At 49.6% G+C, this 24278-nt stretch overlaps 1 protein-coding gene and 2 pseudogenes across 1 annotated transcript; 2 read left to right on the forward strand and 1 right to left on the reverse strand.

Moving 5' to 3' along the window:
* Nucleotides 1626-6820, reverse strand: LOC728506 (POM121 membrane glycoprotein (rat) pseudogene; annotated as a pseudogene).
* On the forward strand, nucleotides 5203-13956 carry LOC124900996 (uncharacterized). The gene is made up of 2 exons (XM_047417975.1): nucleotides 5203-7180; nucleotides 13786-13956. Exon 1 carries the CDS (start codon nucleotides 5535-5537, stop codon nucleotides 6117-6119), a length of 585 nt encoding a protein of 194 aa, XP_047273931.1. The 5' UTR covers nucleotides 5203-5534; the 3' UTR covers nucleotides 6120-7180; nucleotides 13786-13956.
* On the forward strand, nucleotides 13785-24278 carry GUSBP13 (GUSB pseudogene 13; annotated as a pseudogene).

Genomic DNA, 24278 nt, shown 5'->3' on the forward strand with positions numbered 1-24278 from the left:
CAGTGGCACAATCTCGGCTCTCTACAAGCTCCGCCTCCTGGGTTCACGCCGTTCTCCTGCGTCAGCCTCCTCAGTAGCTGGGACTAAGGCGCCCGCCACTGCGCCCGGCTAATTTTTTGTATTTTCAGTAGAGACGGGGTTTTACCATGTTAGCCAGGATGATCTCGATCTCCTGACCTCATGATCCACCCGCCTCGGCCTCCCAAAGTGCTGGGATTACAGGCATGAGCCACCGCGCCCGGCCTATCATATGAATTTTGAGGGAACACAAACATGCAGTCTGTAGCAGATGGTAATAGGCTGACATATTACACTTGTTGATGTAAATCTGATAGGTTTCTTTCTCTCCAAGGACAGCTTTTTAAATATTTAACAGTATCAATAATTTTTCAGGTTCTGTGAGAATTTTATAATTTATAATTTGCAGACTTAACGTATAATCTATTTTGTCCTAACAATTACAAATATATTTTTTATTTCAGATTGTATATATTCCTACCAGATGGAGATAATTACAGCTTTAAAAATTTTTATTTTTTCATTTTATTTCACACATTGACATTAAATTTTTATGGACACATAATAACTGTACATATATATGGGGTAGAATGTGATGTTTTAATACATGTACTCAATGTGTAATGATCAAATCAGGGTAATTTGCATAATGATTTTTCTGTAGGGAGAAAATTCAAAATCTACTCTTCTGGCTATTTTCAAATATATAATATGTTATTGTTAACTATACTCATCCTACTATGCAATAGGACACCAGAACTTATTCCTGGGTTCTACATCCGTTAAGGCAACCAAGGATTGGAAATATTGGAAAAAAAAATTGCGTCTGTACTGAACATGTACAGACTTTTTTCTTGTCCTTATTCCTTACACAATATAGTACAATAACTATTTGCATGACATTTACATCGGATATTATGAGTGATCTAGAGTTGATATGAAGTATATGGGAGGATGTGCAAAGGTGATGTGCAAATACTATGTCATTTTATATCAGGGACTTGAGTATCCTTTGTTACCCTCAGGAGATCCTGAAACCAGTCCCCCATGGATACTGAGGGCTGACTGTATAGTCCTATCCTCACGGAACTTTCATTCTAATGGGGGAAGACTGACTATAAACAAAATATATGTAATAGGTGGTGGTAAGTACCGTGGAGAAGTAACAAATGGGGCAAAGTGAGTTATACAGCTCCATTCTTAGAAACCTTGGAGTACTTTTCTTAGTTTATACTCGTGGTGGTTTCCTTTTGTCTCCTTTATTACATGGGACTCTGACATGTGCCCATAGCTAGGGTGACAGTAGGATCTACCCGATAGTAGGGTGGCAGTAGGATCTACCCAAAAAGCGTCCTGCTGATACAGGACCAAAGCATCCTGTTGTTCTCGAGCCTATAAAAAGAGCTAATGGTGTTGCTTCTCTTAACTGTGGCCTCCTACACTGTGTTTTGGATGATTGGTGATGTCTTGGATATTCTGTTTCTTTGGAACTTTGAATATACAACACTTTACTAGGGAATTAGCAATGGAAGCAGAGCAAAGATGTACAGAGGAAACAATGCGTAACTCTGATGGAATTGAAGTCATGAGGCAGCAGAGAGCTTAAATTACAGCTTTAAAAATTTTTATTTTTTAGAGGGAATTTACTTGGGAGTAACAGCAGTAATAGTTAACGGAGCCAGAATGCTTGAGTCATATAATTGCAAAGCAGAGTTGGGAGCAACAGATGCTAAAGAGTAGTTGCTGTAGTTCCTCTTTGGGTCGTAGGAGCAGTTGTCATATTACTATATAGCTACTGCATGAAGAAGAGTTCTTAGTGAGGCCTGGGTGAACAGCTCTTCTTAGTATTCTGTGTGACCCCATTTGACCTTTTAACAAATCCCTAAGTAAATAAATAGCCCCTCAGGAAAACTAAGTTTTTCTCTGCTGTTTTTTTGCTTGAGAGAGCTATAACTGTAATAGACTTATATTTCTGAACATTTTAGTGCTTGCCAATATTTGGTAATATTTATGTTTCCTATATTTGTAATGAACATTCTTCTTCCGGTACATTTTTTGTTAAATTATTGTTTGATGGATAAAAGTTCACCTTTTATTGTATAAAATTGACTGAGATTAATTTATACACATTGACAATGGGTAAATAGAATTTTTCAGATTATTAAAAGCTGAAGGATGCCCACGTAAGCAAAAAAAAAAAAGAAAAAACCAACAAAAATAAACCCAAACCCCTCAAACAGTTTCGAACACGAAACATTCTTCTGATGCCGGCATCCCTGCTTGCAGGTGTGAAGGGGGCAGGAATCAGCGAGGTGTCCTGGGCTGAGTCCCCGGAGTGGGAAGAGGTGGCAGGAAGGGGATCTGAGGAGGAGAACAGGGGTCCTGGTGGTCTGTGCTTCTTCCCAGACACGGGAGCTGTAGAGGAGACCTCTGCAGCAGATGCTAGGGGGGCCAGTAGGCCCAGGCAGTCTTGGGACTTGGGTCTGTCCTGCTGTGCATCCATAGTGGGTGCTTTAGAAACGGGAGGCCCACCCGAAGCCCCTGTTGCAAGTGAGGACAAAGTGTGGGAAGGCCGTGAGGGTCTGCAGTCCGAGATGGCCTTGTCCTCAACGTGCAGTGCACTGTTGATGCGGGGCCTAGAGGCCTGGGATCTGGGGTAGCCACCCCTGGGGGCGAGTGTCTGCCCTGGTGCTGTACCTGCCTTGTTTTCACAGCGGTGACCCGAAGAGACAGCCTGAGGTCCGTCCTCACTCACTGTGTTTGAGGAACTGTGGGCCAGCTGGCAGTGGGATGAGGCTGGCCCCCTCCTCCGCTTTAGTTCCTGGAGGCCTTCCGTAGAGCTGTGGGAGCTGGAGCTGGCATTTCGTTTGAGGCAGGATCTGGTCCGGGAGGTCTGGGATCTCTGGTTATATCTCACTTCTGACCTCTGGGCACGTGCTGCAGCTGTGGCTGAGGCCAAGAAATGTGAGGGGCCTCCATCCACTGCATTGAGTAGCGACCCCGACGTGGGGTTCAATGTGGAGGGGGGAAGGGCTGCTGCGGCAGCTGCAGGAGCCGAGGTGCCAGGCCTTGTTCTTCTCATGCCGGCATCCCTGCTTGCAGCTGTGAAGGTGGCAGGAATCAGCGAGGTGACCTGGGCTGAGTCCCGGGAGTGGGAAGAGGTGGCAGGAAGGGGATCTGAGGAGGAGAACAGGGGTCCTGGTGGTCTGTGCTTCTTCCCAGACACGGGAGCTGTAGAGGAGACCTCTGCAGCAGATGCTAGGGGGGCCAGTAGGCCCAGGCAGTCTTGGGACTTGGGTCTGTCCTGCTGTGCGTCCATAGTGGGTGCTTTAGAAACGGGAGGCCCACCCGAAGCCCCTGTTGCAAGTGAGGACAAAGTGTGGGAAGGCCGTGAGGGTCTGCAGTCCGAGATGGCCTTGTCCTCAACGTGCAGTGCACTGTTGATGCGGGGCCTAGAGGCCTGGGATCTGGGGTAGCCACCCCTGGGGGCGAGTGTCTGCCCTGGTGCTGTACCTGCCTTGTTTTCACAGCGGTGACCCGAAGAGACAGCCTGAGGTCCGTCCTCACTCACTGTGTTTGAGGAACTGTGGGCCAGCTGGCAGTGGGATGAGGCTGGCCCCCTCCTCCGCTTTAGTTCCTGGAGGCCTTCCGTAGAGCTGTGGGAGCTGGAGCTGGCATTTCGTTTGAGGCAGGATCTGGTCCGGGAGGTCTGGGATCTCTGGTTATATCTCACTTCTGACCTCTGGGCACGTGCTGCAGCTGTGGCTGAGGCCAAGAAATGTGAGGGGCCTCCATCCACTGCATTGAGTAGCGACCCCGACGTGGGGTTCAATGTGGAGGGGGGAAGGGCTGCTGCGGCAGCTGCAGGAGCCGAGGTGCCAGGCCTTGTTCTTCTCATGCCGGCATCCCTGCTTGCAGCTGTGAAGGTGGCAGGAATCAGCGAGGTGACCTGGGCTGAGTCCCGGGAGTGGGAAGAGGTGGCAGGAAGGGGATCTGAGGAGGAGAACAGGGGTCCTGGTGGTCTGTGCTTCTTCCCAGACACGGGAGCTGTAGAGGGGACCTCTGCAGCAGATGCTAGGGGGGCCACTAGGCCCAGGCAGTCTTGGGACTTGGGTCTGTCCTGCTGTGCGTCCATAGTGGGTGCTTTAGAAACGGGAGGCCCACCCGAAGCCCCTGTTGCAAGTGAGGACAAAGTGTGGGAAGGCCGTGAGGGTCTGCAGTCCGAGATGGCCTTGTCCTCAACGTACAGTGCACTGTTGATGTGGGGCCTAGAGGCCTGGGATCTGGGGGAGCCTCCCCTGGGGGCGAGTGTCTGCCCTGGTGCTGTACCTGCCTTGTTTTCACAGCGGTGACCCGAAGAGACAGCCTGAGGTCCGTCCTCACTCACTGTGTTTGAGGAACTGTGGGCCAGCTGGCAGTGGGATGAGGCTGGCCCCCTCCTCCGCTTTAGTTCCTGGAGGCCTTCCGTAGAGCTGTGGGAGCTGGAGCTGGAGCTGGCATTTCGTTTGAGGCAGGATCTGGTCCGGGAGGTCTGGGATCTCTGGTTATATCTCACTTCTGACCTCTGGGCACGTGCTGCAGCTGTGGCTGAGGCCAAGAAATGTGAGGGGCCTCCATCCACTGCATTGAGTAGTGACCCCGACGTGTTGTTCAATGTGGAGGGGGGAGGGGCTGCTGTGGCAGCTGCAGGAGCCGACCTTGTTCTTCTCATGCCGGCATCCCTGCTTGCAGCTGTGAAGGTGGCAGGAATCAGCGAGGTGACCTGTGCTGTGTCCCGGGAGTGGTAAGAGGTGGCAGGAAGGGGATCTGAGGAGGAGAACAGGGGTCCTGGTGGTCTGTGCTTCTTCCCAGACACGGGAGCTGTAGAGGGGACCTCTGCAGCAGATGCTAGGGGGGCCAGTAGGCCCAGGGAGTCTTGGGACTTGGGTCTGTCCTGCTGTGCATCCATAGTGGGTGCTTTAGAAACGGGAGGCCCACCCGAAGCCCCTGTTGCAAGTGAGGACAAAGTGTGGGAAGGCCGTGAGGGTCTGCAGTCCGAGATGGCCTTGTCCTCAACGTGCAGTGCAGTGTTGATGTGGGGCCTAGAGGCCTGGGATCTGGGGGAGCCACCCCTGGGGGCAAGTGTCTGCCCTGGTGCTGTACCTGCCTTGTTTTCACAGTGGTGACCCGAAGAGACAGCCTGAGGTCCGTCCTCACTCACTGTGTTTGAGGAACTGAGGGCCAGCTGGCAGTGGGATGAGGCTGGCCCCCTCCTCCGCTTTACTTCCTGGAGGCCTTCCGTAGAGCTGTGGGAGCTGGAGCTGGCATTTCGTTTGAGGCAGGATCTGGTCCGGGAGGTCTGGGATCTCTGGTTATATCTCACTTCTGACCTCTGGGCACGTGCTGCAGCTGTGGCTGAGGCCAAGAAATGTGAGGGGCCTCCATCCACTGCATTGAGTAGTGACCCCGACGTGGGGTTCAATGTGGAGGGGGGAGGGGCTGCTGCGGCAGCTGCAGGAGCCGACCTTGTTCTTCTCATGCCGGCATCCCTGCTTGCAGCTGTGAAGGGGGCAGGAATCATCGAGGTGACCTGGGCTGAGTCCCGGGAGTGGGAAGAGTTGGCAGGAAGGGGATCTGAGGAGGAGAACAGGGGTCCTGGTGGTCTGTGCTTCTTCCCAGACACGGGAGCTGTAGCGGGGACCTCTGCAGCAGATGCTAGGGGGGCCACTAGGCCCAGGCAGTCTTGGGACTTGGGTCTGTCCTGCTGTGCATCCATAGTGGGTGCTTTAGAAACGGGAGGCCCACCCGAAGCCCCTGTTGCAAGTGAGGACAAAGTGTGGGAAGGCCGTGAGGGTCTGCAGTCCGGGATGGCCTTGTCCTCAACGTGCAGTGCACTGTTGATGCGCTGGAATGCCGTCTCTTTTTCCAGGTGCAGGTCTTCAGCCGTGACCCGGTACCCCAGCTCTAAGGGAGGTGGCAGCATCAAAGGCTCCCCTCGCCTGCGTGGCAGCAGGGGAATCTTGCGTCTACGGGGCCTAGAGTCCTGGGATCTGGGGGAGCCACCCGTTGGGGCGATTGTCTGCCCTGGTGCTGTATCTGCCCCCTTTTCACACCGTGTGTGACCCGAAGAGACAGCCTGAGGCCTGTCCTCACTCACTGTCTTTGAGTAACTGAGGGTCAGCTGGCAGCGGGATGAGGCTGGCCCCCTCCTCTGCTTTAGCCCCGGCAAGCCTCCCGTGGAGCTGTAGGAGCTGGAGATGGCATTTCGTTTGGTGCTCGAGCTCGTCCAGGATGTCTGGGATGTGTGGTTATATCTGATTTCTGAGCTCTGGGCGTGGAGGTCTGTCTGCAGAGGCCCGGGCCTGGGCACAAAGGGAGAGGGGCCTCCATTGTCCCGCAGGGGCCAAAATGCAGACCGTGCATCCCCGGTGACCTCGGGGACCGTTCTCTGATCATCAGGATTTTCTTGGACTCTGGGGTCCTTGTCCTGCTCAGGCATCCCTGCCCCGCTCTCCTTGAGGGCCCTCAACACTATCTTCCCTGGACACAAGTCTGGGGACAGCCGGGTGTTGTGGACCCCAAAGGGGTGACTACCTGCTCCTGGGCCCCACAGAGTCCTTGTGCTCAGTGTAGTGGCTGAGCTGGGGGATGCCCTGGAACTCGGAGCACACAGCACTGGCTTACTGTGGTACCTGTGCAGTGAAATTGAAGACAGAATCACCAGGATGGAACACAGGTCTTGCAGGATCACGGAAAACCTTCTTAGAGTTGTCTTGACACCACTGATGTCGAGTGTGCGGGTGTTTGTAGGATGGCCTGCCACTCAGTCCAGGGGCAGGAGCAACGGGGAGATCCCACAAGCAAAGTGAACTGGGGGATGGGCTGAAGGGGCTCCAGGCAACTGAGCCCTACTCGCAGGTCCTCGGCCTTGGCCCAAACAGGAATGAGGGGCACAGAGTGCCCGGGTAACCGCTCCTGGGAGCAGTGGGGAACTGTCGGATACTTGAACTCTCAAGAGCTGGGCTCTGAGCGTCCTCGTCCAGCTGCCAACTTGGCCAAAGGCTAAGCCAGCAGATTGTTCTGTTGCCGGGCAACGCGACTTCTAAACCTGAGGGAGTGGGCATGTGAGCACATAATGGCACCAGTGACAGAGCGACCATAATGGATGAATAAGCACAGCCAGGTACCCGCGCAAGGCACCTGCTGGCAATGGCAGGAGGCGGACGTGGGGGGTCGTGCAGTAGGTACTGGAGGGAGAGACGTGGGCACAAAGGTCGCGGGAGGAACAGGTGCCCACAATGGCTGCATATTTGCCCGTGGATCACTGAAGATTCCTGCTCTCCTGCTGAGGTGGAGACTGCAGTGAGCTGAGATCGCACCATTGCACTCCAGCCTGGGCAACGAGTGCAAAACTCAGTCTCCAGATAAAAAAAAGAAAAAGAAAAAAAAGAGGCCGGGTGTGGTGGCTTATGCCTATGATCCTAGCACTTTGGGAGGTCGGGGTGGACGGATCACGAGATCAGGAGTTGGAGGCCAGCCTGGCCAACATAGTGAAAGCCCGTCTCTAGTAAAAATACAAAATTTAGTCAGACATGGTGGGCAGGAGAGAGCATGTGCAGGGGAACATCCATTTATAAAACCATCAGACCTCATGAGACTTATTCACTACCATGAGAACAGCATGGGGGAAACTGCCTCCATGATTCAGTTATCTCCACCTGGCCCCACCCTTGACACATGGGAATTGTTACAATTCAAGATGAGATTTGGGTGCGGACAGAGCCAAACCATATAATTCTTCCCCGGCCCCTCCCAAATCTCATGTCCTCATATTTCAAAAGCAATCATGCCTTCCCCTAAGTCCCCCAAACTCTTATTTCAGCATTAACTCAAAATTCCATAGTCCAAAGTCTCATCTGAGACAAGGCAAGTCCCTTCCACCTATGAGCCTGTAAAATCAAAAGCAAGTTAGTTATTTTCTAGATACACAGGGATACAGGCATTGGGTAAATACACTCGTTTCAAATGGGAGAAATTGGCCAAAGCAAAAGAGCTACAGGCCCCATGCAAGTCCAAAACCCAGCAGGCAAATCTTAAAGCTCCAAAATGACCTCCTTTGACTCCATGTGTCACATCTAGGTGATGCAAGAAGTGGGTTCCCAGGGTCTTGGGCAGCCCCGCCCCTGTGGCTTTGCAGGGTACAGCCCCCCTTCTGGCTGCATTGAGTGTCTGCAGCTTTTCCAGGCACACAGTGCAAGCTGTCAGTGGATCTACCATTCTGGGGTCTGGAGGATGGTGGCCCTTTTCTCACAGCTCTGCTTGGCAGTACCCCAGTGGGGACTCTGTGTGGGAGCTCCAACCCCATATTTCCCTTTGACACTGCCCTAGCAGAGGTTATCCATGAGGGCCCCCCCCTCCCCTCCCCCCCACAGCAAACTTTTGCCTGGATTTCCAGGCATTTTCATACATCTTCTGAAATGTAGGCGGAGGTTCATGAACGTTAATTCTTGACTTTGGTGCATCTGCAGGCTTAACACCACCTAGAACCTGAAAGGCTTGGAACTTGCACCCTCTGAAGCCATGGCCTGAGGTGTACCTTGGCCCCTTTTATCTATGGCAGGAGCAGCTGGGATGCAGGGCCCCAAGTTCCTAGGCTGCACACAGCAGGGGGTTCTGGACCCACAAAACCATTTTTCCTTCTAAGCCTCCTGGCCTGTGATGGGAGGGTCTGCTGTGAGGGTCTCTAACATGCCCTGGAGACATTTGCCCCATTGTCTTGGTGATTAACATTTGGCTCCTCATTACTTATGCAAATTTCTACAACCCAGTCTCCTGAGAAAATAGATTTTTCTTTTCTGTTGCATCATCAGGCTACAAATTTTCTGAACTTTTATGCTCTGCTTCTTCTCGAATGCTTTGCTGCTTAGAAATTTCTTCTGTCAGATACCTTAAATCATCTCTCTCAAGTTCAAAGTTCCACAGATCTGTAGGGAACTCTAGAAAGAAATTCTTATTTTCCCTCTTTCCCGCCTATCTTATGCCCGTTTCTAATACAGGTGCACAATGCCTGCAGTGTCTTTGCATAGTAAGAGTGACTTTACTCCATTTCCCAACAAATTCCTCATCTGCCTCTGAGACCACCTCCGCCTGGACCTTGTTGTCCATATCACTATTAACATTTTGGTCAAAGCCATTCAACAAGTCTCTAGGAAGTTCCAAACTTTCCCACATTTTCCTATCCTCTTCTGAGCCTTCCAAACTGTTCCAGCCTCTCCCTGTTACCCATTTCCAAAGTTGCTTCCACATTTTCGGGTATCTTTACAGCAGCACCCCACTCTACTGGTATCAACTTATTGTATTAGTCTGTTCTCACACCGCAAATAAAGACATACCTGAGACTGGGTAATTTATAAAGGAAAGAGGTTGAATTGACTCACAGTTCTGCATGGCTGGGGAGGCCTCACAATCATGGTGGAAGGCAAGGAGGTGCAAAAGCATGTCTCACATAGTGGCAGGCAGGAGAGAGCATGTGCAGGGGAGCTCCCATTTATAAAACCATCAGATCTCATGAGACTTAGTCACTACCGCGAGAACAGTATGGGGGGAACCATCCCCATGATTCAGTTATCTGCACCCGGCCCCACCCTTGACACGTGGGAATTATTACAATGCAAGGTGAGATTTGGGTGGGGACCCATCCAAACTATGTCAGTATGTTTTGACTTCTTGCTTGATTGCTAGGTTGCATAGAGGACAAACATGGAAATTAATGAAGTACCTTAATATCTGGCTTCAGATCTTAGACAGGATCAGAGGGCCAGCTCAAATTTGCAAGGAGGGGAGGTAGATCCCACCATTTTATGGGTGAATGGCAAAATCAAACAGAAATTATGTGGGATGGGAGATACTGATGCAGGCATCTTTGGAAACATTCTACTTAGCTAATTTTATGCTAGGCTTTAGGTCAAGAAGGAGAGAGAGAGCTGACATGCTGTGGTACACACTTATAGTCCCAGCGACTTGGAAAGCTGAGGCAGGAGGATTGCTTGATCCCAGGAGTTTGAGGTAGTGTGCGATGATCGTTCTTGTGAATAGCCACTAGCCACTGAACTCCAGCTTGGGCAACATTGAGACACCCTGTCTCTTAATTAAAAAAAAAAAAAAAAAAAAGGAAAGAAAGTGGTCTCAGTTTTTAATGTAAGTATTTTTAATGGGATAATGATATTTTAAGATTAATGTATATTGTATATCAGTTAACTGTAGGTCAATAATTATATAAAACTTAAGGTATGAAAAACATTTATTTTTGCTAACATATCTGTGAGTTGACTGTTCTTGGCTTGGTGAGGCTGCAAGCTGCAGATAGAGTCTAGGTATGTTTTCTGTGTGTTTGTTCCCCCTTGGATCAGTGGACTACCTGAGAATGTGTTTTTGTCACAGTGATAGAATCACAAGGAAACTCCAGTTCTGGAAGTACATTTTAAGCCATTGCTTCTCTCATGTCCACTAACATTCAGTCAGCCAAAGCACATACCTTGTCCATGGCTAACATTGATAGTATAGATAAATATACCTGATCTCTAGCAGGAGGAACTGCATTGTCTTGGGGAAAGGTTTTAGATATAGGGAGGGGTGATGAGTTGGGAACAATAATGTAGTCTGCCACAAACATATTAAAGTGTAACTGGATATGGTTGCTGCAGAATTTTGAACCTTTGTTTTAATTGTGATTTTTACTCTTTTCCCCCTATCTAGTGCCCTTTTGTAATACAGTAATTATCATGATTTTTGTCTGAACTGAAATCTTCTGAGATTAGATTGTCTACGAAAATACAGTCGATCCTCCTTGTTTTCAGCTTTTGTATTTGTGAACTCACCTACTATTTTTTGTAACCCCCAAATCAGTACTCACAGCACTTTCATAGTCATGTGTTTGCGCAGAGTGTCAAAGAATTTGAGTTTGAACAGGATGATATTCTGCCTTCTTTTTCAGCTCTCATACAATAGTCAGGTATCCTTTTTGTGGTCTATTTAATGCCATGCTTTTCCTGTTTTTGTGCTGTTTGTTGGTTGTTTTGCCATTTAAATTAACCCCCAAGCATAGTGCTGAAGTGCTGCTTAGCATTCACAAGTCCAAGAAGTCTGTGATGTGTCTTACAGAGAAAATACATGCATTAAATAAACTCCATTCAGGCGTGAGTGCTGTAGTGCCGTTGGCTGTGAGTTCAATGTTAATGAATGAACAATGTATATTATTTATTTATTCTTCATTTAATTAATTATTATTATTATTTTTTTTGAGATAGAGTCTCACTCTGTTGCTCAGGCTGGAGTGCAGTGGTGCAGTCTTGGCTCACTGCAACCTCTGCCTCCTGGGTTCAAGCGATTCCCCTGCCTTAGCCTCCCAAGTAGCTAAGACTACAGGCATGCGCCACCATGCCTGGCTAATTTTTTTTTTTTTTTTTTTTTTTGTAGTTTTAGTAGAGACGGGGTTTCACCACGTTGGCCAGGCTGGTCTCGAACTCCAGACCTCAAATGATCTGCCCGCCTTGGCTTCGCAAAGTGCTGGGATTACAGGCGTTAGCCACTGTGCCTGGCCAACAATATATATTAAATAAGCACACATACAACAAAAGTAGGTGTTGGTAAGCTTACAAAAGTGTGACCAGTAGCTTGCTGAAACCTAACTTTTTATTTGTTCATGGAACTTTCTAGACCGTAACTACACTGAATAATGAGAATCTGCTGTAATCTTTTTAGGTGCTGTAGATGAGCCATTGGATTAAATTATTACAGTATGTTTCAGACTGCTGTATGTTGAACCCTAGTGAAATGCCTCTCAAACCTTCATAAGGATCACAATCTCATGTCCTTTTTTTTTTGTTATTAAATGCCCAGTATGTGTTAGCGATTTAAACAAAATTCAAATATTTTTTTTTTTTTTTGAGACAGAGTCTCGCTCTGTCACCTAAGCTGGAGAGTGCAGTGGTATGATCTCGGCTCACTACAACCTCTGCCTCCCGGGTTCAGGCGATTCTCCTGCCTCAGCATCCTGAGTAGCTGGGATTACAGGCACCCGCCACCACGCTGGGCTAATTTTTGTATTTTTAGTAGAGACGGGGTTTCGCCAGGTTGTCCAGGCTGGTCTGGAACTCCTGACCTCATGCGATCTGCCTGCCTTGGCCTCCTGAAGTGCTGGGATTATAGGCGTGAGCCACCATGCCCGGCGTTGACTTCTTAATAATAACCATACTGACTGGTGTGAGATGGTATGCCATTGTGGTTTTGATTTGCATTTCTCTAATGATCAGTGATATTGAGCTTTTTCTCATATGCTTGTTGGCCGCATGTGTGTCTTCTTTTGAAGTGTCTGTTTATGTCCTGTGCCCACTTTCTAATGAGATTTTTTTTTTTCTTGTAAATTTGTTTAAGTTCCTTATCAGTGTTGGACATTAGATCTTTGTCACATGCATTGTTGCAAAAATTTTCTCCCATTCTGTAGGTTGTCTGTTCACTCTGTTGATAGTTTCTTTTGCTGTGCAGAAGCTTCAAGAAGAAAGGAATCCGATTGGTTCTGTGTCTGTCTCTTTTGGTATTCTCAGAATTATGTAGTCATTCATATAGAAAGATGATTAGGAAAATAGGACAAGAATAGCAGAAATCTACATAAAAATGTAGGAAATTAAAATTAGTTACCAGCATACAAAAAACTTCTGTATGTTATAATTACATACTATAACTCACCCCTCCTTGGCAAATATTCTCTCTCTTTTGACTTCAAAATCATGGCTTATATGTACTTTCTCTATTTCCCAGATGCAAATATAATTAATTGACTTTATTTATCTAGGAAATGTTACTCATATCTTAATTGTAGTCATTGGCTTGAGTGACGGGTTTTGGTAATTCAACTACTATTACTTGAAAGTAGTAGATTTCATAGGATACTGTTATAAAATCTTTTTAACCTCTTTTCTGATTTCAGGAGTAATTAGTAATTGTGGTTTACTGGAAAATTCAATGAATAGGGTGTTAAAGGAAGCAATTCATTAATAATATATGTAATCTATTGGGAGACTGAGGCGGGTGGATCACCTGAGTTCAGGAGTTCGAGACCAGCCTGGCCAACATGGCAAAACTCCGTCTCTACTGAAAATAGAAAAATTCGCCGGGCATGGTGGTGCATTCCTGTATTCCCAGGTACTCGGAAGGCTGAGGCAGGAGAATCACCTGAACTCCAGAGGTGGAGGTTGCAGCGAGTCAGGATCGCAGCACTACACTCCAGCCTGGGTGACAGTGAGACTCCATCTCAAAAAAAAAAAAAAAAAAAAAAAAAAAATTAAAAAATTAAATTAAAAGCGGGCTGGGCGCATTGGTTCAGGGCCGGGCACGGTGGCTCAAGCCTGTAATCCCAGCACTTTGGGAGGCCGAGGCAGGCGGATCACGAGGTCAGGAGATCAAGACCATCCTGGCTAATGTGGTGAAACCCCGTCTCTACTAACAATACAAAAATTAGCTGGATGTGGTGGCAGGTGCCTGTAATCCCAGCTATTCCAGAGGCTGAGGCAGGAGAATCACTTGAACCTGGGAGGCAGAGGTTTCAGTGAGTCCAGATCATGCCACTGCACTCCAGCCTGGGTGACAGAGCGAGATTCTATCTCAAAAAAAAAAAAAAAAAAGCAACAGAAGCAAATGAGAGTGCCTGGGAGTGGTCATTGTGGGGCCTTCCCGTTTGTGTGACCCAGGTCATGTCCCTCCCTAAGCCCTGGTCTCTCTTGCCTCCTGCAGGGCTGGTGAATTACCAGATCTCCGTCAAGTGCAGTAACCAGTTCAAGTTGGAAGTGTGTCTTTTGAATGCAGAAAACAAAGTCGTGGACAACCAGGCTGGGACCCAGGGCCAGCTGAAGGTGCTGGGTGCCAACCTCTGGTGGCCGTACCTGATGCACGAACACCCCGCCTCCCTGTACTCGTGGGAGGTAATGGTGGTTTGGGACTTGCGTAAGGGAGGTCTTTTGCCCCCATCTGGTAGCCCTGGCTTCAGCAGGAGCCCAGGACAGGTGAACGGGCAGGTGTGGTCCTCTGAGCTTTCTGATGTTTCCCACCCTTGGTGGGAGGCCCAGATTTTTTATTTATTTATTTATTTATTTATTTGTTTGTTTGTTTGTTTGTTTGTTTGTTTTTGTGATGGTCTCACTCTGTCACCCAGGCTGGAATGCAATGGCCTGATCACAGCTCACTGCAGCTTTGAGCTGCAATCCTCCTACCTTGGCCTCCTGAGTAGCTGGGACTACAGGCACATGCCACCATGCCTGGCTAATTAAAAAAATTTTTTTTGTAGGCCGGGCATGGTGGCTCACACCTGTAATCCCAGCACTTCGGGAGGCTGACGCGGGCAGATCACTTTAGGCCAGGAGTTGGAGACCAGCCTGGCCAACATGGTGAAACCCCGTCTCTACTAAAATATGAAAATTTGCAGGGCATGATGGTGCACGTCTGTAATCCCAGCTACTCGGGAGGCTGAGGCAGGGGAATTGCTTGAACCCAGGAGGCAGGGGCCGCGGTGAATTGAGATCATGCCGCAGCACTCTATCCTGGGTGACAGAGTGAGACTGTCTCAAAAAAAAAAACTCCTTTTTATAGAGTTGGGGTCTTACTAGGTTGCCCAGGCTGGTCTTGAACTCCTGGACTCAGGTGATCCTCCTGCCTTAGCCTCCCAAGGTGTAGGGATTCCAGGCATGAGCCACCTCGTCTGGTCAAGGAGAAGGCCTGATTTTGAAGGGCAGGTCCCAGGGTCAGCCAGTGAAGGGCAGAGCCTCTGATTGCTGCTTCTCTGCAGGCCCAGTGGCGACTTCTGGGGTGCATGCACGAGGGGTCTTCCTGCTGTAGGGCAGGCCAGATGGGGCTCAGGCTGTCGGGGCGCTCACACCTGGCGCTTTGGCTGTCGTAGGTGCGGCTGACTGCACAGAAGTCACTGGGGCCTTTGACTTCTACACACTCCCTGTGGGGCTCCGCACTGTGCCCGTCACCGAGAGCCAGTGGGTGAGAGCCAGTTTCATTTGCGGTAGAGGCAGCAGAGGTTGTAGAAATGCTCCTTGAGGCAGATGCCACACCCCAATTTCATGGAGTGATTTGGGCTGAGCCGAGTCTGCAGCAGGCAGAAGGCTCTGAGATGTTGTCCTAGCCTGGGCAAAGGACAATTCAGAGCTCGGGGGAATAGGGGTGTGCTCAGCACGACTGGGTGGACAGGCCGTTTGTTGTGAATCGTACAGGCTTCCAGGAGCGGGTGCCTGAGGCTTCCAGACAGGCTTTGGGAGGTGGCCAGAGGAGATGCCTGTTTCCGGGGCAGGAAATGGAGGGAGGGCCCAGGCTGGAGAGGTTCAGCCAGGCTGTCACAAGGCTTTGAAGCTTCCCATCTGAGAGCCTGGCTATTGGAGAGTGTGGGTTTGGAACTTGAGGCTAGGAGGTTCTATTCTGTCCTGTGCCAGCCACAGCCTTCGGATGGGCAGAGCAATGATGGGGGGAAGATGTAAAAGAAAAGAACTGAGGAAAGAAGAAGAAAACCAGCTTCAACAACGGTCTAGGCCGGATGCGGTGGGTCACGCCTGTAATCCCAGCAGTTTGGGAGGCTGAGGTGGGTGGATCACCCGAGGTCAGGAGTTCGAGACCAGCCTGGTCAACAGGTAGTGAATCCTGTCTCTACTAAAAATACAAAAATTAGCTGGGCATGGTGGTGGACGTCTGTAATGCCAGCTACCAGGTAGGCTGAGGCAGGAGAATCGCCTCAGGTGAACCAGGAGGCAGAGATTGCAATGAGCTGAGATAATGCCACTGCATTCCAGCCTGGGCTACAGAATGAGACTCTGTATCTCAACAAAACAAAACAAAACAAAAACACAACAGTCTGTTCTGTGGAGGCCTTGGGCAGATGCTGGGAGCTCTGAGCACGGACTGGTCCCTCTGTTGGGAGCCTCTTCCCTTCATCCCTCCTGGTTAACTTGACTCAGCATAAAGGCCATTTCTTCTAAGAGCCTGTCCCTGACTCTCCAATCGGGGATGTGTCTGTTGTCTCATAGAGTGCCCAATTCCTGCCACCACTTGTCATTTCCATTCGCAACATTTCTTTCATTGTTTGTTTTTCAGAGTCAGGGTCTCACTCTGTTGCCCAGGCTGGAGTGCAGTGGTGCAATCATAGCTCGTTGCCATCTCGACCTCCTGGGCTTAAGCGATCCTCCCCACTCAGCCTCCCAAATAGCTGGGACCACAGACGTGCGCTGCCTTGCCAGGCTAAATTTTAATATTTTTTTTTTCCCCACGAGTCAGAGTCTTGCTCTGTCTCCCAGGCTGGAGAGCAGTGTTGCGATCTTGGCTCACTGCATCCTCTACCTCCTGGGTACAAACAGTTCTCCTGCCTCACCCTCCCGAGTAGCTGGGATTACAGGCTCACGCCACCATGCCCAGCTAGTTTTCTTCTTTATTTTTTTTTGAGATGGGGTTTCACCATGTTGGCCAGGCTGGTCTTGAACTCTTGAGCTCGTGATCCACCTGCCTTGGCCTCCCAAAGTGCTCACAGGCTTGAGCCACCATGCCCGGCCCTAATTTTTAAATTTGTTGTAGAAACAAGGTCTTGCTATGTTGTCCAGGCTGGTCTCAAGCGCCTGGTCTCAAGTAAGCCTCCCAAAGTGCTGGGGTTCTAGGCGTGAGCCACCTCGCCTGGCACTTGCACCGTTTTTCTGTGCATGCATCTCCACTCCCACTGCCCAGGACCTGTGGACTTAGATTTGAGTCATTACTGAGCACCTAGCACCCAGCCTCATGCCTACCTCCCACCTCGCACTACCTGTTTGCTTGATGCATTAATAAATATTCCACCTGAATCCACAGCCCATTCACTCCTGTGTTCAAGAGCTATTTCAGGAAGTGAACCTCATTTCTGGCAGTGTTCAGTCCAGTGACCTCAGCTCTGTGTACCCGGCAGGGTGGCTACGCCTCTGGGGGAGTTGGATTCAGGGGTGGGGGAGAAAGAGTGTTGTTAGAGAGCTCGGTCTAGGACTAGAGGAACGTGCCCTTATGTAAAATACATCTCAAGTTAGGGAAGAAAGCAGCGGCTCTGTGCTTTGTTTTTTTTTTTTTTTTTCCTTTTTTTTCTTTCTTTTTTTTTTTTTGTTTGTTTGTTTGTTTGTTTGTTTTGGGGCAGGGTCTTGCTCTGTGGCCCAGGCTGGAGTGCAGTAGCGTGATTTCGGCTCACTGCAACCTCCACCTCCCGGGTTCAAGCAATTCTTGTGCCTCAGCCTCCCGAGTAGCTGGAGTTACAGATGCGTGCCACTATGCCTGGCTAATTTTTGTATATTTAGTAGAAATGGGGTTTTGCCATGTTGGCCAGGCGGTTCTTGAACCCCTGACCTCAGTGATCTGCCTGTCTCAGCCTCCTGAAGTGCTGGGATTACAGGCGTGAGCCATCGTGCCTGGCCCCCAGTTGTGTTCTGGCAGGGGAAGATGGGACAGAGAGGATGGGAGGGTGTCTGAGCCTTTCCCGGACTGACGGAACCTGTGTCTTCTCTCTTTTGTGGACAGGATGGTGATTGCTCACACCAAAGCCTTGGACCCCTCCCAGCCTGTGACCTTTGTGACCAACTCCACCTACGCAGCAGACAAGGGGGTGAGCCTGGGGGTCCCCACCCCATTTCTCCCTGCCTTTGCCTGGGCTTGTCCTGAAGCCTGCTCATGGGAACAGCTGGAAAGAACCATGTGCTGCCAGTCTGAGCTTTTTATTTTGTTTTACTTAGAAAGATAGAGACAGGGTCTTGCCATGTTGCCCAGGCTGGTCTCGAACTCCTGGGCTCAAGTGATCCTCCTGCCTCGGCCTTCCAAAGGGCTGGGGTTACAGGCGTGTGCCACCGCACTCAGCCGCAGCCAGTCTGTTTTCAAAGATGGTCTTTGGGTTAATGACAATTCTCTCTCTGCTTACTCTCCAGGCAGTGTGGCTTTCTGAATCCAAGGAGGCTGGGCATAGGGAGATGGGATTTGTTTGCCCGGTTTGGACTCAGCATTTTTTGTACTCGATTTAATAGACTCATAAAATGTCAAAGGTTTAAGTGAGCTTAGAGTTCATCTGGCCCAAACCTGGCTGATCAGAATCTCCAGGGGAAGTTTTATTGAAATGCCAGATCTCTGCGTTCTGAGATCCTGATTTAGTAACTCCAGGGTTGGAACCTGAGTTTTTTGTTTTTTTGTGTGTGTGTGTGAAGGCAAGGTCTTACTCTGTTGCTCTGGCTGGAGTGCAGTGGTGTGATCACAGCTCACTGCAGCCTTGAATTCCTGGGCCTAAGCAACCCTCTTGCCTCAGCCTTCCAAGTAGCTGGGACTCCGGGTGTACACCACTGTGCCCGGCTAATTTTAAATGTTTTTGTAGAGATGGGATCTCACTATGTTGCCCAGGCCAGTCTCAAACTCTTGAGCTCAAGTGATCCTCCTGCCTTAGCCTCCTAAAGTGCTGGGATTACAGGCATGAGCCACCGTGCCTGGCTGATACTAGCATTCTTTTTTATTTTTTATTATTTTTTTAAGATAGAGTCTTGCTCTGTTGCCCAGGCTGGAGTGCAGTGGCACAGTCTCAGCTCAGTGCAACCTCCGCCTCCCAGGTTCAAGCAATTCTCCTGCCTCAGCCTCCCAAGTAGCTGGGATAACAGGCACATGCCACCACGCCTGCGCTTGATCGTGGGAGGCAGAGGTTGCATTATTGTGCCACTCCATTCTAGCCTGGGCAACAGAGCGAGACTCTGTCTTCCAAACAAAGCGGAAAAAGATTATCTGCGAGAATGACTGCATTGGCCCCTTGGGTGGGAGGGCTTCTCCAGGGCAAGGTGAGGGGATGCCCAGTGCTGGGAGTGCTGCCTGGAGAGGAGTCAGTTCCAGTGGCGGGGGCCCTGGGTTTTGGCTGAGGACTGCGTGTTGGCAGCTGCTCTGCCTCTCACAGCCCTTCCCAGCTGCACACGTCGTGAGCGTCAGTGTGCAATCACAGGCCTGCCTCCTTTGGGCCACTTTGTGACCATGTTTTTTGCTTGTGGGGCAGGGTAATTTCAGGATCTAAATTGGTGCAGTTGGATGTTCTCAGCCCCGAGAGGCAGCTCTTCCCGTTGTAGGCTTTTTGTTTTGTTTTGTAGAAATGGAGTCCTACGATGTTGCCCAGGCTGGTCTCAAACTCCTGGGCTCAAGTGATCCTCCCACCTTGGCCTCCCAATGTGCTGGGATTACAGGCATGAGCCACTGTGCCGTGCTGATTTTCTTGATACTATTTTTTGTAGAGCTGGGGTCTTGCTGTGTTGCCCAGGCTGGTCTCGAACTCCTGGCCACAAGCCACCCTCCTGCCTCAGCCTCCCAGAGTGCTGGGATTACATCCCCTTCTTACCTTCTCTGTCAGAGGAGCCCCCACAGCATGTGAGTACTGAGTCATGCGGTCTTGTGGTTGCTGAACGGGCTCTGCTGCTCTGGTCCTAGGCTCTGTATGTGGATGTGATCCGTGTGAACAGCTACTACTCTTGGTATCGCAACTACGGGCACCTGGAGTTGATTCAGCTGCAGCTGGCCGCCCAGTTTGAGAATTGGTGTAAGACATCACAATCCCATTATTCAGAGCGCGTATGGAGTGGAAACGCTTGTAAGGCTTCACCAGGTAAGCGGTGTTGAACTTTCTGCTTGTGTATTCTCTCTGGGCAGAGATGCCACTTGCCTCCCCCACCCTGCCCTGCGCCCACTGCAGTGCTCCCCTTGCTTCAGCTTTGGGCTCACCTCCCGCTACCCTGTCCACGTTCCCTTCTCACCAGCAGCCAGGCCTCTGCCCCACTCGCTTGGTCCTCAAAGGTGGACTCCTTACTGGCCTTGTTTCCAGACAGCCTCCTATCACCCGTGCCCAAGTGGTCTTTCTAAGAAATCCAAATTTTTATGTGTTTTTGAGACCGCCTCTCTCTCTGTCACCCAAGCTGGAGTGCGGTGGTGCGATCACTGCTCCCTGCAGCCTTAACCTCCTGGGCCCAAGCGATCTTCCCACCTCAGCCTCCTGAGTATCTGGGACCATAGGCACAGGCCACCATGCCTGGCTAATGTTTTTACTTTTGTAGAGATGGGGCGTTGTTGTGTTCCCCGGGCTGGTCTTGAATTCCTGGGATCAAGTGACCCTCCTGCCTCAGGCTCACAAAGCGCTGGGATTTACAGGTGTGAGCCACTGTGCCCGGCCACAAATCAAAATTTTTGAGTCCTGTCATTGGCTCCCCCAGGCCCATAGGACAAAGTCCTAACCCCTAGTCAGGACACTCAGTGTCCTCTGCTCTCTCCTGGGTTTTCATCCTCTTCTCTTCTCACTCCTGGCCACTGATCTGTTTCCACTGCCCTCATTTGCTCTCCTGCTCTTGCTTGAGCTATTCTTTCTGCCTGGAATGCCCAAGTTGGCACCATAATCACCAACTAAAAGATCCTTTTCTTTTTATTTTTTTAGAGATAGGGTCTTGCTATGTTGCCCAGGCTGGTCTCAAACTCCTGGACTCAATTGATCTTTTTGCCTTGGCCTCCCAAAGTTCTGGGATTAACAGGTGTGATCCACTGTGCTAGCCTTTTTTTATTTTTTATTTTTTTCCTGACAGGGTCTTGTTCTGTTGCCCAGGCTGGAGTGTGGTGGTGTCATCATAGCTCACTGCAGCCTCGAACTCCTGGGCTGAAGCAATTCTCCTGCCTCAGCCTCCTGAGTAGCTGGGACTACAGGCGTGCACCACCATGTGCAGCCTAGTTTTAAAATATTTTGTAGAGATGAGTCTCGCTATCAGGCTGGTCTTCACCTCCTGTCTTGGACTCCCAAAGTACTGGGAATACAGGCATGAGTCACGACACGTGGCTGGAAAGATTCCTATTTGGCATCTGAGTCTCCTCATAGCTGTCCCCTCTGTGGGGAGGTTTACCCTGCCTGCCCCAGGCGGAGGGAACCTTCCCCGTGCTCTGCCCTGTTGCAGCCGGAACCTGGCTCCCCCAACATTCTCGCCAGGCACCGTTGTTATTTCTTTGGCTCTCTCTTTGATCGGACTGTGGGCTCAGGAGACAGGAGTCCTATTTATTGTTGTTTCCCAGGTACTCTGCAATAGCTGACACAGTACATGCTAAATAATACCTATTGAGGGCATGGGTGAGATCTTAGAGCCATGTTTAATCACTCACTTTGTCTTTTTTTTTTTTTTGAGATGGAGTCTCACTCTGTCACCCAGGCTGAAGTGCAATGGTGTGATCTCAGCTCACTGCAACCTCCACTTCCTAGGCTCAAGCGATTGTCCTGCCTCAACCTCCCAAGCAGCTGGGATTACAGGCACCTGCCACCATGCCCAGCTAATTTTTGTATTTTTGTAGAGGTGGGGTTTTGCCATGTTGGCCAGGCTGGTCTTGAGCTCCTGACGTCAAGTGATTTGCCTGCTTCCGCGTCCCAAAATCCTGGGATTACAGGCCTGAGCCACCATGCCTGGCCTGTCCTCATTTGTTTATCCATCTCATTTTTTGTCCTTCTCACCAAAGATATGTTGCTTTGTCTTGTGGGGTTTTTTTCATGTGGATTCCTGAACCCCATCCAGCCCCTTGTCCCCTCCCCAGCCAGCTCACACTCTTTTGCACAGCTCCTGGGACTCCCGTTGACACACAGGGAACAGCCACCCACAATGGACTGCACTGTTCTGTTTGCACCCTTAAATTTATCGTGCTTACAGAATGACACTTCTGCAAACTAGTCAAGTAGGGGGAAGTGATTTGTGGATATGCACCCTTGTTCATTCTCTTTGAAAAGGTAACCAGCTCTGAATTCTTTCTCCTTTTAGGAGGAGTTTCACTTGTCGCCCAGGCTGGAGTGTAGTGGTGCAATCTTGACTCACTGCTACCTCCGCCTCCCAGGTTCAAGCAATTCTCCTGCACCAGCCTCCCAAGTAGCTTGGATTACAGGCATGCACCACCATGCTCACCTAATTTTTTTTTTTTTTTTTTTTTTTTTAGTAGAGATGAGGTTTCACCACGTTGGTCAGGCTGGTCTTGAACTTTTGACCTCAAGCGATCCACCTGCCTTGGCCTCCCAAAGTGCTGGAATTACAGGCATGAGCCACCATACCCAGCCCCAGTTCTGAATTCTTAAGAAACTCGAGAGGGTCTAGGTGAGCATTGATAGAACCTCTGCAGTGCTGGGTGTGCTGGCTCACACCTGGAATGCTAGCCCTTTGGGAGACCGAGGTCAGAGGATCTCTTGAGCCCAGGAGTTTGAGACCAGTCTGCACAACATGGACCCCATCTCTACAAAATATTTAAGATGAGTTGTGGCTGGGTGCAGTGGCTGACGCCTGTAATCCCAGCACTTTGGGAGGCTGAGGTGGGTGGATCACGAGGCCAAGAGTTCAAGTCCAGCCTGACCAAGATGGTGAAACCCCGTCTCTACTAAGAAAACACAGAAATTAGCTGGGTGTGGTGGCATGCACCTGTAATCCCAGCTACTCAGGAGGCTAAAGCAGGAGAATCGCTTGAACTGGGGAGGTGGAGGTTGCAGTGAGCCGAGATTGTGCCACTGCACTCCAGCCTGGGCGACAGAGCAAGAGTCCGTCTCAAAAAAAAAAAAAAAAAAAAATAGTTGGGTATGGTCGTGCTTGCCTCTAGTCCCAGCTACTTGGGAGGCTGAGGTAGGAGGACTGTTTGAGCCCAGTAGGTCAAGGCTGCAGTCCGCCATAATTGCACCACTGTACTCCCACCTGGGTGACAGAGTGAGACCTTGTTTCAAAAAAGAACCTTTGCAATGATGGAAATGCCCCATGTCTGCACTGTCTGAAATGGTAGCCACTAGCTACATGTGGCTATTGAGGTCTTGATATATGACTAGGATAACTGAATTTATCTGGTTTAATTAAAAAAAATTTTTTTTTGAGACAGCCTTACTCTGTTGCCCAGGCTGGAGTGCAGTGGCGTAATCACAGCTCACTGCTCAACCTCCTGGGCTCAAGTGATCCTTCCTCCTCGGCCCCCCAAGTAGCTGGAGCCACAGTCATGCGCCACTATACCTAGCGAATATTTAGCCTTTTTATAGAGACTGGGTTTTACTGTGTTGCCTAGGCTGATCTTGAACTCCTGAGCTCAAGTGATCCTCCTGCCTCGACCTCCCAAAGTGCTGGGATTACAGACCTGAGCTACCATGCCCAGCCTGGTTTAGTTTAATTTCATTTTACATTCATTCATTCATTCATGAGATAGGGTCTTGTTCTGTCACCCAGGCTGGAGTGTAGTGGTGCAAACCACAGCTTTGACCTCCGGGACTGAAGCAGTCCTCCCACCTCAGCCTCCCAAGTAGCTGGGACCACAGGTGTGTGCCTCCATGCTTGGCTAACTTTTGTACTTTTTGTAGGCTAGTCTTGAACTCCTAGGCTCAAGCAGTCCTCCCACCTCGGTCTCCCAAAGTGCTTGGATGACAGACATGAGCCAGCGCGCCTGACCTAAAGACATATTTTTCCTTCTAGTGTAGTTCAGCCTTAAGACTGTATCAGCAGACAGAGACGGAAAAGTAAGAAAAATTGAGTATCAGGTTATATTTATAAATAAAGCAGTTGCTAATTGATGGTTTTTTTTTAAACCTCCTTTTTAATTCTGGGTTACATCATTCCCTGGCTGTCGTTTCTTTTTTTGTATTTTTTTTTATTATTATTATACTTTAAGTTTTAGCGTACATGTGCACATTGTGCAGGTTAGTTACATACGTATACATGTGCCATGCTGGTGTGCTGCACCCACTAACTCGTCATCTAGCATTAGGTATATCTCCCAATGCTATCCCTCCCCCCTCCCCCCACCCCACAACAGTCCCCAGAGTGTGATGTTCCCCTTCCTGTGTCTATGTGATCTCATCGTTCAATTCCCACCTATGAGTGAGAATATGCGGTGTTTGTTTTTTTGTTCTTGCGATAGTTTACTGAGAATGATGATTTCCAATTTCTCCCTGGCTGTCTTTACCCTAGCATCAGTGAGTCCTGCAGTCCCTACAGCCCCCAGTGAGGACAGATATTTTGGTCACCATCAAGTGGATCTTTATTTTTATCTAACATTTACAATTCTGCCAGTTCTTACTCTTAATTCTCTTTGCCTTGAATCCCAGGATCCACCTCTGATGTTCAGTGAAGAGGACCGGAAAAGTCTGCTAGAGCAGTACCATCTGGGTCTGGATCAAAAACGCAGAAAATACGTGGTTGGAGAGCTCATCTGGAATTTTGCCGATTTCATGACTAACCAGT

Source organism: Homo sapiens, chromosome 5, assembly GCF_000001405.40.
Source record: "Homo sapiens chromosome 5, GRCh38.p14 Primary Assembly".
Lineage (NCBI taxonomy): Eukaryota > Metazoa > Chordata > Mammalia > Primates > Hominidae > Homo > Homo sapiens.

Excerpts from the sequence above, each read along its gene's own strand:
- LOC124900996 (XM_047417975.1), top strand. The coding sequence starts at position 5,535 with ATGCCGGCATCCCTGCTTGCAGCTGTGAAGGGGGCAGGAATCATCGAG.